Consider the following 14,179-nt stretch of genomic DNA (forward strand, 5'->3'; position numbering starts at 1 on the left):
GCCTCCTCTGCCTGGGCGCCCACTCCGGCGGCACTTGAGGAGCCCTTCAGCCCGCCGCTGCACTGTGGGAGTCCCTTCCTGGGCTGGCCGAGGCCGGAGCCGGCTCCCTCAGCTTGCTGGGAGGTGAGGAGGGAGAGGCGCGGGCGGGAACTGGGGCTGCGCCCGGCGCTTGCGAGCCAGCGGGAGTTCCCGGTGGGGCGTGGGCTCGGAGGGCCCCGCACTGGGAGCTGCCGGCCAGCCCCGCCGATCCCGGGCAGTGAGGGGCTTAGCACCTGGGCCAGCAGCTGCTGTGCTCGATTTCTCGCCAGGCCTTAGCTGCCTCCCCGCCGGGCAGGGATCAGGACCTGCAGCCCGCCATGCCTGAGCCTTACCGCCCCGCCCCGCCCCCCCCCCCCCCCCCGCGCTCCCCCCGCTCCCCCGGCTCCCCCCGCTCCTGCATGGCACGAGCCTCCCCGAGGAGCGCCGCCCCCTGCTCCATGGCGCCCGGTCCCATCCACTGCCCAAGGACAGAGGAGTGAGGGCGCACCGCGCGGGACTGGTAGGCAGCTCTACCTGCGGCCCGGTGCAGGACCCACTGGGTGAAGCCAGCTGGGCTCCTGAGTCTGGTGGGGACTTGGAGACCCTTTGTGTATAGCTAAGGGATTGTGAATACACCAATCAGCACTCTGTATCTAGCTCAAGGTTTGTAAACACACCAATCAGCACCCTGTGTCTAGCTCAGGGTTTGTGAATGCACCAATCAGCACTCTGTATCTAGTTAATCTGGTGGGGACTGGGAGAATCTTTATGTCTAGCTAAAGGATTGTGAATGCACCAATTGGCACTCTGTATCTAGCTTAAGGTTTGTAAATGAACCAATCAGCACTCTGTGTCTAGCTCAGGGTTTGTAAATACACCAAGTGACACTCTGTATCTAGCTAATCTAGTGCGGACATAGAGAACTTTTGTGTCTAGCTCAGGGATTGTAAATGCACCAATCAGCATCCTGTCAAAACGGACCAAACAGCTCTCTGTAAAACAGACCAATCGGCTCTCTGTAAAATGGACCAATCAGCAGGATGTGGGTGGGGCCAAATAAGAGAATAAAAGCAGGCTGCCTGAGCTAGCACTGGCAACATGCTTTGGTCCCGTTCCACAGTGTGGAAGCTTTGTTCTTTCACTCTTTGCAATAAATCTTGCTGTTGCTTGCTCTTTGGGTCCACACTGCCTTTATGAGCTGTAACACTCACCGTGAAGGTCTGCAGCTTTACTCCTGAAGCCAGCGAAACCACGAACCCGCCGGGAGCAACGAACAACTCCAGACGTGCTGCCCTAAGAGCTGTAACACTTAGAAACTGTGATTTCTATGTGATGGCAATTAATTTAAATGCTTACAAATATCTAGTGAGTTAAATATTTGAATTTTTACAACATTTCAAGGAAAAAAACATGTCCAAGTGCCAAAACAAAAGCAATTGCAATCACACTTTTGCTGTCCCTTACATAGCTTTTCGTAACTCTGCCCTGAAAATCTAATTTAGAGCTTTGAAAGCAGCAAAATGTAATTATATTTTTATTAGATACACAAACTGTAATTATATTATAGTTTTCTTCTGTGAATATTCTAAAATGTGCTTTTAGAGGATTCTTTAACACAAATGCTGCCTAAAGTGACAACTGCTTGAGGCAAAGAGGTTATGAACCACCACTGTAAAATTGTGAGAGCTGCAAGACTTATGCATGTGATCACTGTACATGAAGCTCAAATTTTTTTCAAGTGTTTATTAAAAACAGCCAATCAACACATAAAACATCAGAAAAGGGCTGGGTGCGGTGGCTCACGCCTATAATCCCAGCACTTTGGGAGGCCGAGGCCGGCGGATCACCTGAGGTCAGGAGTTCGAGACCAGCCTGGCCAACATGGTGAAACCCCGTCTCTACAAAAGTACAAAAATTACCTGGGCATGACGGCATGTGCCTGTAATCCCAGCTACTTGGGAGGCTCAGGGGGAAGAATCACTTGAACCTGGGAGGAGGAGGTTGCGGTGAACCGAGATCCCACCACTGTAACCGTGCACTCCAGCATGGGCAAGAGAACAAGACTCCATCTCAAAAAAATAAAAATAAAAAAAATCATAAAAGTACAAGCTGCCTTATGCAAGAACTGTAGTGTGGTAACTATCATACAAAGTTTACATTTACTTCTCAATAATGTACATACATATCATATTTGAAATAATTTAAGATTCTTTCTGTTTCTCCCAAAATGGATTGTACAAATGCTTAGTTTTAGGAGACAACTTTCCCCTTCCAGTTCCATATAAAAATAGTTTGAAACAGAGAAAACCTCCTTTTTTTTTTTTTTTTTTTTGAGACAGGGTCTCACTCTGTCGCCTAGACTGGAGTGCAGTGGTGCGTTCTCGGCTCACTGCAACCTCCGCCTTCCAGGCCCAAGCGATTCTCCTGCCTCAGCCTCCCAAGTAGCTGAGATTACAGGCATGCGCCACCACGTCCGGCTAATTTTTATATTTTCAGTGGAGACGGGGTTTCACCATGTTGGCCAGGCTGGTCTTGAACTCCTGACTTCAAATGATTCACCCGCCTTGGCCTCCCAAAGTGCTGGGATTACAAGCGTGAGCCACCGCTCCTGGCTGAGAAAACGTCCATTTTAAAAAGTCAAACATTCCTTCCTTTTCTTCCTCCTCCCCTTTCTCAATCTTTCCATTCCCCTTCAGCCTAACATCCTCATCATATACACTAATCTATACTTAGAGATGCAAATACCGTATGTAGTTGAGATATGCATGTATTTCTACTTAACTATTAAAGCCTTATGGAAATGGCAGTTGTTCAAATAAAGCTTAAAAAATGAGAAACTAATTTTAACTTCAGAAGTTTTGAACCTTCTGTAGGGATCTTCCAGTATGGCTATAATACTTTTGATCATAAGAATATCCATTGGTACAAAATAAAGATGTAATTAGCCACTGGGTAGAAGAGGTTGAGACAAATTGGAATTATGTGAATATATTTTATGTACTGTATGTATCCCCCTTGTCTGGAACTCAAATATATTGGATATGAGAACCTAAGTGAGAGGAACATAATCTGTTTTGAGAAAAATCATGATAAACTGACATTCTACATTGTATTTGTTTGTTTGGTTGGTTTTTTTTTTTTTTTTTGAGACAGAGCTTAGCTCTGTCACGCAGGCTGGTGTGCAGTGACGCGATCTTGGCTCACTGCAACCTTTGCCTCCCGGGTTCAAGCGATTCTCCTGCCTCAGCCTCCCGAGTAACTGGGATTACAGGTGCCCGACACGACGCCCAGCTAATTTTTGTATTTTTAGTAGATATGGGGTTTCACTGTGTTGGCCAGGCTGGTCTCGAACTCCTGACCTCGTGATCTGCCCGCCTTAGCCTCTCAAAGTGCTGGGATTACAAGCATGAGCCACCGCGCCCAGCCTCTACATTGTGTTTTAAAGCTGATCTGTGAGAGTCTTGATATTTTATTTGGAAAATTATATTCCCAAGAAGAAATATGTTTTTTGTTATGTTCCTAATTTGGAGATAATCTAGACTAGTCTTTTTAAGTAAATGGATTCATAAGAGCTAAGTCAGACAATTATTATCTGCTTGTTTGGTAAATCTTTTACAATAAATATAGCTGACAGCTTTAAGAGCATAAATGCAGGTTTCTAAGATAAGTATTTAAATAAATATAGTCTCTAATAATATACATTTTAATTTCAAAGTTATAAGTCAACAGCTCTTAGTAATACTGTAACAAACCTTTTATTATTGGAGAAAATTTCTGTTCTTTTTTAGCAAATCCTTAAAAAACCACTCGACTTTATGAAATCAATATATATTTAACTTCAGTTGTATTTGAACAGGTATGTAAATATTTATTAATCTCTGTTTTGCTTTTTCTTCTTACAGTATATAATAGTTAGCACTGACTTGCCTTCTCAAAGCACCTCCCATTTTCAATTGTCTCTCTTTCTCTGATGATTTTCATGAACCTCTAAGACCTGTGGATTCCACCTCAGTTGAACTTTCTAGCTATGGTGAAATTGATAAATATGGAATACATAATTTTGTTTCCATGGCCAACATCTAAAAATAAGAACATAACATTTTTCTTATCATTTGTATTTGAATGTTCATTTCTTTATTCATTCAGCAAATATTGAGGGCTTTCATTGAAGGGATAGGTCCAGTTCTTGTCCACACAGAGCTTTTAATCAAGAGGAACCAACTGACAATAAACTGCCAATACCACAATAGTTTTAAAAGTTTCACTGTGCTAACTTCTACCTTGGAGAACTATAGGAGGCCATGAGAGCGTAGGTCCTGGGAACCTGACTGCTAAGGATCCCACAGGAAGAGACCAACACACGCAACTGAAGGGTGAGCAAAATTTAGCTGAATTTTGTAAAGAAGGAGAAAGCTTTTTCTGCTCACCAGAGCAGCCCGTGGAAATTGTTCATGGTAAAAACTAAGTGGGCCCATTTGAGGAAGAATTTATGTGGGTGGAGTGGAGGGAGTGGGAAGAGCTTGCCAATAAACAAAATGGGCAAAATAGGCAAGGGTGAGACCATTCAAGGTATGGTGAGGATTTGGGACTTATAATAATCAGAGACAACTCAATGTTTTATGAATGGAAGTTATGTTCTTTTTTAATGGTAAATTTATTGAAAGGGGATTAGGAAAGAAGTTAATGAAACTTCTGCAGTAGTTCAGGCAAAGTGATGGCTTGCCTAAGGGTGAGGGGAAGATGTAGATTAAGATCAAGAAATGTCTTGCTAGTGTAAATTGAAAGCTATATGAACAGTCATGAATGGCAACTAGAATCACTGAGCTTATCACTTCAGTGTTGAATACATACCCTTAACAAATATACATAATGTTTTAATCAATTTTCAGAAATTGCAGAATGGTTTTTTGGTCTAAAATGAGAAAGATTGAAAGAATCACAGCAAAAATAATGTCACAAAACAATAATGATAAAGATCATTTGGGTGTGGCAGTGAAGTGATGATATTGAACAAAAAGAGCATGTCTTTCATTGAAAGTTTATCCTTGCATACTTACTGTTCAACTTAATCTCAGGATCACAGGGCCAACAAGTCATGCAATGAAAGCTATGTTGACCAAGAATTCCTGTTACTTTGGTAAATTTCCTCAGGACAATGATTGAGTTTTAATTAATATATCAGAATATCAGTAATTTTTTAAAACAGAATGTTTAATAAAATATGGTAAATAATTAAAAACCATTAAATTATAAATTATTTACAAAATTAATATACATTTTGATATGTAATAAATACATTTCATAGCAAACTCAAGAAAAGTGTCTCAATGATAAAGAAATGAATTTCAAAGTATAATGAAAATTATTTTCCATGTTCTTTCTCTAAATTACTGCAGTTTTCTCTGATTTAATATAAAGTATATCCATTTGATTGACAGGAGAACATAATAAACATAAGAAATTAATGGAGTCACTGAAGACAAATTTTAAATATAATAAAGTTGGTAAGGTATTCAAGAAAAATAGAGGATGATACACAAACTACCAGAAGCTATTATCTTGAAACATCTAATTTTAAAAATGCCATCTGCACACTCATTATTTTTATAAATGGCATGTTTTTGAAGGGGTATTTCATTTACATGTTTTTGCTTCACTTTCATAAGATTATTTAATAGATCAACATTTTGATTAGCTTGAAATAACTTTATTTTACTCTTATATAACAGCAAGAACAGTAAGTAACAAAATGAAAATTGAAGGAGGAGGCCAGGTGCAGTGGCTCATGCCTGTAATCCCAGCGCTTTGGGAGGCCAAGGCGGGTGGATCACGAGGTCAGGAGATCAAGACAATGCTGGCTAACATGATAAAACCCCGTCTCTACTAAAAATACAAAGAAATTAGCCGGGCGTGGTGGTGGGCGCCTGTAGTCCCAGCTACTTGGGAGGCTGAGGCAGGAGAATGGTGTGAACCTGGGAAGTGGAACTTGCAGTGAGCCGAGATCGTGCCACTGCACTCCAGCCTGGGCGATAGAAAGAGCGAGACTCTGTCTCAAAAAATAAAAGAAAATTGAGGGAGGAAAACAAGTATACATCTGGTGCTCTTCTTATCTGCTTTCTTTTAAACAAAATACCAGAGATTTTTTTAAAAAGTGCCTTCCTGAAACATAAATATTTTATCTGAGCTTTCAGCAATTGGCATTCAGTTTCAGACGAATCTAAAATTTAGGTACTATATTTTTGCACCATCTTTTTTTTCCTTTTTTTGTAATTCTGAGAAAACTCACTGAAGGACATTGAGAGAATTATAAACATCAATTGTCAGTGACTGAAGATGTAAAATGGGCCCTGTAGTATATCACTATCACATAATATCCAACTAGAGCTTTAAATTATAATAATAGTAATATCTAACACTTATAGAACACTCACTGAGAAACGGGGACTTTCTAAGGATTACACATTCATTTACACATTTAATCCTCAAAAATATCCTATAAAATGAATACTATTATCATGTCAATATTACAGTTGAAGAAACTGAGTTTACAGTGAGGTAAAGTAATTTTCTTAAGATCCCACAGAGACTGAATGAAAGAACCCAAGCTGGCCGGGTGCAATGGCTCATGCCTGTAATCCCGGCACTTTGGGAGGCCAAGGCGGGCAGATCACCTGAGGTTAGGAGTTCGAGACCAACATGGAGAAACCCCGTCTCAACTAAAAATACAAAATTAGCTGGGCATGCTGGCACATGCCTGTAATCCCAGCTACTTGGGAGGCTAAGGTAGGAGAATAGCTTGAACCAAGGAGGCGGAGGTTGTGGTGAGCCAAGATCACGCCATTGCACTCCAGCCTGGGCAACAAGAGCGAAACTCTGTCTTAAAAAAAGAAAGAAAGAAAGAAAGAACCCACGCTTTCTGACTTCAAACTTTACATCCCAGGATATCAGGCCTGTCACATGGTATATGGAGGTACAATTCGCATCACGGTCTGGAAGTATGCAGTACATTACCTGTGAATAGGAATGTGGCGGCCCCTAGGGTCAGAGGTAAGATGAAGAGGAGCCAGTGGTGGAGATAGAGAAGGAGCAGCCAGTGAGATAGTAAATTAATAAGGCTAGTCATGAAAATCAAGAGCAGAAAGTGCTTCAACTTGGTCAAGTGGTAAATGTTGCTGATGGGTTGAGTAAGCTTAGAATACAAATCTCACTATTGTATCATGCCTACTGGAAAAAGTTGGCAGTCATGTCAAGGGAAGTCTTACTAGAGTGAGAACAGAAGCCTTGATGGAGTGAGTTGATTAGAGAAAACAAAGTGAGAAGGAGCAGAGCAAAGGGTCAAGGATAGCAGGCCAATGTGGAGTCACAGAAAGATCAATGACAGTTTCCCCAGTAACTATTTGTGGTGACAGATCAAAGCCAACATGAGAGTTTATATACAACATGCAAACAAAATACAGCAAGATGACTGGCCTAGGGTGAAACCAAATCAGTGTGACACATAAATCAGCAAATCAGGCACAAAAAAGACAACAGGTTAATCAAAAAACAATGGCCTCTAGCTACAAAGCACATGAAAAATAAAAGAGAAGAGTAATGAATCTGATGCGACCTTAAGCAATAAACTACTCCTATGAAGAAAATCTCATAGAGAAAGTCACTGAACTAATTTCCAGAGAGGCACAAGGAATACCTGGACCAAGAGTTGCTTATGAAGAAGAAATGCAAGTATAGGGAAAATTCTGACTAGAGAGAATGATTCGTAATGTTGTACAAGCAACGAGACAAAACGGAATCTCAATATACAAAGAAAATAATATTTTAATAGGGTGATATTAACAGGTTTAAATAGTACAAAGGCATAGATAAAACATGTTGGAGAGATGTCCTTTGAACAGCTTGAACAGAGTCTGTGTTTTGTTAATTCCAGCATCTCTGGGACTGAGCATAATATCTGGCAGCAAAAATGTACACTAGATTGTTGTTGAATGATAAAGATATTAAAGTGATCCATCCTTGTTACCTCAGTGGTGTATAAGATGAGTGAGTGTGAAGAGAGAGCACAGGAGTCTTGATATTTTTATTTAATAAGGTTTGATAGTTTTTTTTGGACTGAGGGAAAGAAGATAATGGCAACAAATGGAGGCTGATGGGAAGAGAATGGTGGGGATTCTTATCTCCTCCTTATCAGGTTTATGTAGAGGAGTCTGTTTATTCACAAGAAGGAAACGGTATGAAAGGAAAAAAAAAAATCCCAGTTTCGATCTGCCTCCTCACTCTCCTCACTCATGATTTGCCAGAGGAAGAAAACCAACATAACTGATAGTGAATTTGGGTGAAGAGCTAGAAGAGGAGCAGACGAACACACTCTTTTCTTTCTTTCTCAAAGTCTTGAATCCAGGATTCACACTTTCTCTTCCTCCTGCATATGTAAGTTCTCTGTCCCTGCAGGAAATTTACAACTTGCCAGCTTGGGTGAATGCATTCAATATTTGTGAAAAAATTGCATTCAATAAGCTCATTTTGTCCAGAGGTCTAGGCCACTGTCCAATTCATCTTTAGAAATAATTAACATGACATTTTTATTTCCATCTGCCTTATTTCTACGTCTACTTCTCAGTTGATTTTAAATTCAGATGAGGTATGATTAATTATCACTCCTTAATCCCTATCACAGTCCAAGCCACAGAGTATAGGGCTTCAATTTCCATCACAAGGGATTTAGGAGACAACCGGAAGTACAAAATGGCACGAACAACACAAATCATTTGGGCACTCTTTAATGTGCTGAGTAACTATAATTGAATTACATACAAAGGGAAAACAGCTGGTTGCCTTTGCATATAGTAAAGAATAAAGTTGTACTCAGGGTTGTGATTAGACTTGTCCCTTCATAAAAACATAGGTGGAAGGCAGAGAGACTTAACATAGAGTGCAGGCAAGTCAGTCACACCCTTGGAGTAAGGGCAAGGAAAGGAACCAAGTTATCATCAAATGCCTTTAAGACCAGAAAAGGGAGAGGTCAGCTGAATCATTCAAATATTCAGGTACCATACAGACAGAAAAATGCTGAAGTCAAGAGGGAGCTGATAAAATCTACTTCTGTGTGGCAGCGAAAACTTGAGGAGAACACAAAATAACATTTACAAATTGAAGTGTCTTTAGTCAAAAAATAGATGAGCTTGTTGAATTTGGTAGCACTAAGCAGAGAAAAAAAGTGTTTTAGTGGGAATGATGGGTGATAAGCCCGCAAACCTTCCACTTAGTTATTTGCAACATTAGATGTTGTTTATGATAAAAGTTAATGAAACAGTAAAATTAAAGTCATATTAAGAAGTATATTTTCAAGAAATATTTGAGAGATTGTTTTTCTAATATGCCTTTCAAATTTCTCAAAATTATACTGGCAGCTTTCATGTAGATCTTGCTCATCGAGGGGAAAGTGATTTTTTTTTTCAGGTAGTAACTTTAATCAAGTCCTATTATAACATTTCTAATTTCTTTAGTTTAAAACCTGACAAGAGTGTCAAGTAGTAAAGTAGTGAGAACATATTAAAATATTTCCCATATACAACATTTCATTATACCGTCCTTTGTACATAGAATCATTTTTGTTCATCAAGATAGATTTCAAATAGAAATAAATTTTGAACACAATCTTGGTTAAGTTCTTACACTGAAACTTAACCATTAAACTTCGATGAAGTGTAGCAAGATTATACAAAACAATCTTTTCACATCTGAATGAGACTGGACATTTCCAATGTACCATCAATATCATTTGTTCGCTTATTAAAATTTTGTTTCATTATGAAATACTTAACAAATTTACTTTAGTCCTGCAATTTGGCAGCTAAGTGTTACACATTTGAATTCTGAGGTTAGTCCACTATATTCTCTTTGTCACTGATTTGCCTATTACCAGTTTTTGCTATAAATGGAAGAATGGCTTACTGGGTTAAATTTAACAAACATTTTATTTTAAAAGTTTTCTCTATTAGTTTTACTAAAGCAAATTATGTACCTAGGTTATAATAACATTTCCAAGAGAAATGGAATTAGTTTCCATCTGTCCAATTTTAAGTTGAACAAATAATTTAGTAATTTAAACAGTAATTGAGGGAGTTGGCAATAAAATAGTCTACTCTTTCCATGTGAATATATTTCAATTTTATTTATAAATTTAAGCCTTGTAATTAATTTTACCTTGTTTGCAATTAAAAATTAAAATTTACTCAGACAAAAGGAAATAGCAACTATTAAAAACAGCATAATCAAAAATTAATTGTATTTCCTAGTAATAATAAGATAATTCTTATATTGCAAAATTATTACTAACTAGCTGATGAATAAGAGGAATGTGATTTGTGTGAGATCTCAAACATTTTTGTGTAATTCCTAAAAACTTATGGGATGTAGTTGAATGCATATGACCAATACTTATTTCATAATTCTCCACATTTAAGAAAAAAATAATTACTTTTATCTCATCTACTGAAGGTGAAAGGGGAATTATTCTGGCAATATTTTTTTATTCATTTACTTAAGAAATATTTAATAGTTCCTGAAACTCTACCACATGCACTGTTAAGACTCTTATTTGCAAGCAACAGTACTCCACTTTGAACAATATTGGAAGATAGTGTGGATTTTATGAAGTGAATGAAAGGGTTGAGTAATGGTCACTGCACCAGATCTATAACTTGATGAGTAGTCAGATAAAGCAGCCTGTAAGGGGAAAAAAAAATGAAGAAAACATGCAGAGAAAAGAGATTAAGAGATCCCCTAGCTTTACATTTTACAGATTCAGTCTCTGTATTCTGACTACAAAAGCTGTGAGGGAAAGGACTCATAGCCCAACCCTGATCAGGTACCCACTTGGAAAAATTAGCAGTGAGCAAGGGGACACATAATTGAAGGAATATTATAAGAACGTGTGGCTGATGGTAGCAGTGTCTAGAAGAATAGAATGGGGGTGGGGGGTACAAAGTAGCCTAGACAGCCTATCCCACTGATATCTACCATATTGGAAAAGCAAATGATAAATGTGTAGAAGTAGCCAGTTGTCCCAATTAATTAAATTATAGGCTGGAGACCTAGGATATAAGTTAAACCACATATAATCAACAGTAGTTGACCATGTTTGCCTTTAAAACTGGCTACTTAATGTGTTACAACCTAATCATTCAGTAAGTAATGGAAAAAAGTAAAAGTGACAGAATCAAACTGAGTAGAATATCCAAAAAGGCAAAAATGAAGTGGAAGCAACTTGGGCTAACTGATTGGCCACTCTATGACAGACACTATACCTTAAACAGGAGTCCTTTTACAACTACTTTGGTTTTAACATTTTGCATTTTGTTTGGATCTTACAATATTTAAAAGACAAAGCAACTGGACAGGTGTTAGGTCGGGTTACAATATGAAAAACTCAGCTGCTACACTCTCACACCTATGCTGTTTCTATGTTTATACTACCTGATAGCCCACCCAAAGTCATCTGTATTTGCCATGATCACCTGCATATTCTTGGAAGGATGGATTGAGGAGCTTAGCAGTTACAAAGACATTGCAATGGCCCGTGCAAGAGATGATAGGATAGTTAAAAGTTAAAAACATGATCCTTGCTAAAAGATGAGCCTGGCCCAATAACCAATCTTTTCCACTTTCAAGCTATTTTATCTGAGCAAGGTCATCTTGACAAATAACCTTCCTTATGTGCAAAATCTAAATACACTACTTGTCACAAAGGCTTTCTGAGATGATTAAATGAGATAACGGTCTAATTATTACAAAACATAAATCTCTTACAACAATTCCTGGAACATAGTACACATTCAGTAAATTGGCATAGATATCAATAGGTTCTAATCTGGGGGAAAGGGCATGGTAGAGCTTCAGTTGCAGCAGTGTGGGCCATGTGACTGAGTTCTGATCAATAGGATGTAAGCAGAAATTATGTGTGCAACTTCAGGTCGTGGCTTTAAAAGGAACTAGCTTGCTCTCCACTGCAGGTGTGACTATGGAATTGAACATTCACAGGAAGGCAACTTAGGGGATAGTGGGACAACAAAAAGTAAAGAACCTGGGTCCTCGGATAATACAAAGGGACAAAGGCACTACACTTCTTGAACTACCTACAAGTACAGGTTTTCATGTGAAAGAAAAATGAGCCAGTCTTGTTTGTCATTGTTACGTGGTCACTGTTAAAACAGCTCAAGTGCATTCCTTACTAATATGTACAAGGAATCTAGATGGTTTTCTCTTTAAAAACTACTTCCACCACTCAAGTATGAGTGGAAGCATGGAAGTTCACATGCCTAATTGATTATGATGTAGCACCATCTCAGTGGTAATGGATTGTGCTGGGAGAGGAAGAACTATCCATATTACTTCAATAATTTCTTGAATTGTTAAAAATGTGCATTTTTAATTTAAGCAATAGAAATGTCCACTATTACATTAAAACTATTTTACTGTACTCTGTTGTAACTCCCTCAGTTATATCTCATTTATATCCTTTTACCACTGAAATAATTAGATCAGAAACAAAGCTAATAAAATTGGGATTAAAGTTAAATAGAAACATAGATATGGATGAAGCAAACTGGGGAAGATATTTTGTTCTGCAAAAAATTGAATGCTTAAATTTGTCATCAACTTGCTATTTAAATAATATGTAAACATAAATTGTTTACCCCTTAAATTGAATGAAATACTGCCATAGCAATTTCCCCTTCAACGTGTATTAGCTTCATTCCATGTTAGTTCATCTGGAAGTCAGTTGAGAAGCAAAGTCTGCATGATTGGGATTTCATTTTGCCAGACCATCATATTAACTTTTTGAGAAATTGTAAGGCTCTAAATGTCAGAGGAATTATGAGGGCCCAAGTGCACCATCCGAAATTCAAATCAAGATGGTTTTGTCTTTCTGTGCTCATGGGATATTTCGGTCCTTAGCAAATTCATCTTCTGACAAATTTGGTCCAAAAATTTGAATCCTAAAGCTGAAGCTGTTTAAATCAAATCTTTTTCATTATTATTAGCATCTCTCTGTAGCTAAAAAACAAATATTGCTTGCTGAGAACTATACAGATCTCAGAAAAATCATTTCACATAAAAGAGGGAGAGAAATTGCCTTGCCATTATGTTAGCATTTTAACTTTTATTAACATTGTAATTGGTAGTGTACAAAACACAGGAATTGTGATATTAAACCTGACTTTCTAGTAGGCATCAAATACATCTAAAAATAATGACTGACACAAACATGAATAATTCTTTTACTACCAGGGTCAAAACATTTCATTACCAAAATGCTTGCCTAAAAAGATAAAATGCCTCAAATCAATATTTTGATATATATTCAAAAGCACAAAACATATGTGAGCAATCCATGGATTGTTCAAAATGTGCTTCCTTTTTGCTGGTGACATTTATTTCTAGTAAAACACTGATGTGGTGTTATGATAAACACACACACACACACACACACACACACACTAAGCCATGCACACAGGGTTAAGAAGAATTCTGGACAGAAATATAGTTATAATTAAACATTAATCAGACTGCACTTATACCCGTTTGTCATCGCGAGCCACATAGCACTTTCGCATGCCTATTGTTCCTACAAACAGGATATCTGACATTAGAATCATAAGGCTTTCATTTAAGAATTGCTTAAGATGTTTTTCAGATTTCAAATTCCAGCAAAACAGCTGATGCCAACCGGTTTGAAGACCCCCACAGAGAAACAAAATCAGCATGAGAATACAGTTTCTTCATCTCCCTGTCCCAAGACTTTGCCCTGCATGCTTCAACCAATCAATGATCTGCACACTTTAGCCCACTCCAAAATCCTTACAAACTCTAGCCCCAGATGCACTGAGGAGACAGTTTTGAAGTTTCCTCCTGTCTCCTCAATCAGTGACCCTATTTTTAAACATCTTTCTTTGCTGTCACCCAGTGTCTCAGTGTATTGACTTGCCCTATGCATCAGGCAATGGACTTATTACAGATAGATAGATAGATAGATAGATAGATAGATAGATAGATAGATAGACAGATAGATATTTTGTCTGTGGTTCTTGGCGGATACATTCCATAGTCCTGGTTACAGTCTTTTGCTATAATGTTGGGTTTGTTAGGCCTGAAGGGGAAG

The sequence above is a fragment of the Homo sapiens genome, chromosome X, assembly GCF_000001405.40.
Source record: "Homo sapiens chromosome X, GRCh38.p14 Primary Assembly".
Classification (NCBI taxonomy): domain Eukaryota; kingdom Metazoa; phylum Chordata; class Mammalia; order Primates; family Hominidae; genus Homo; species Homo sapiens.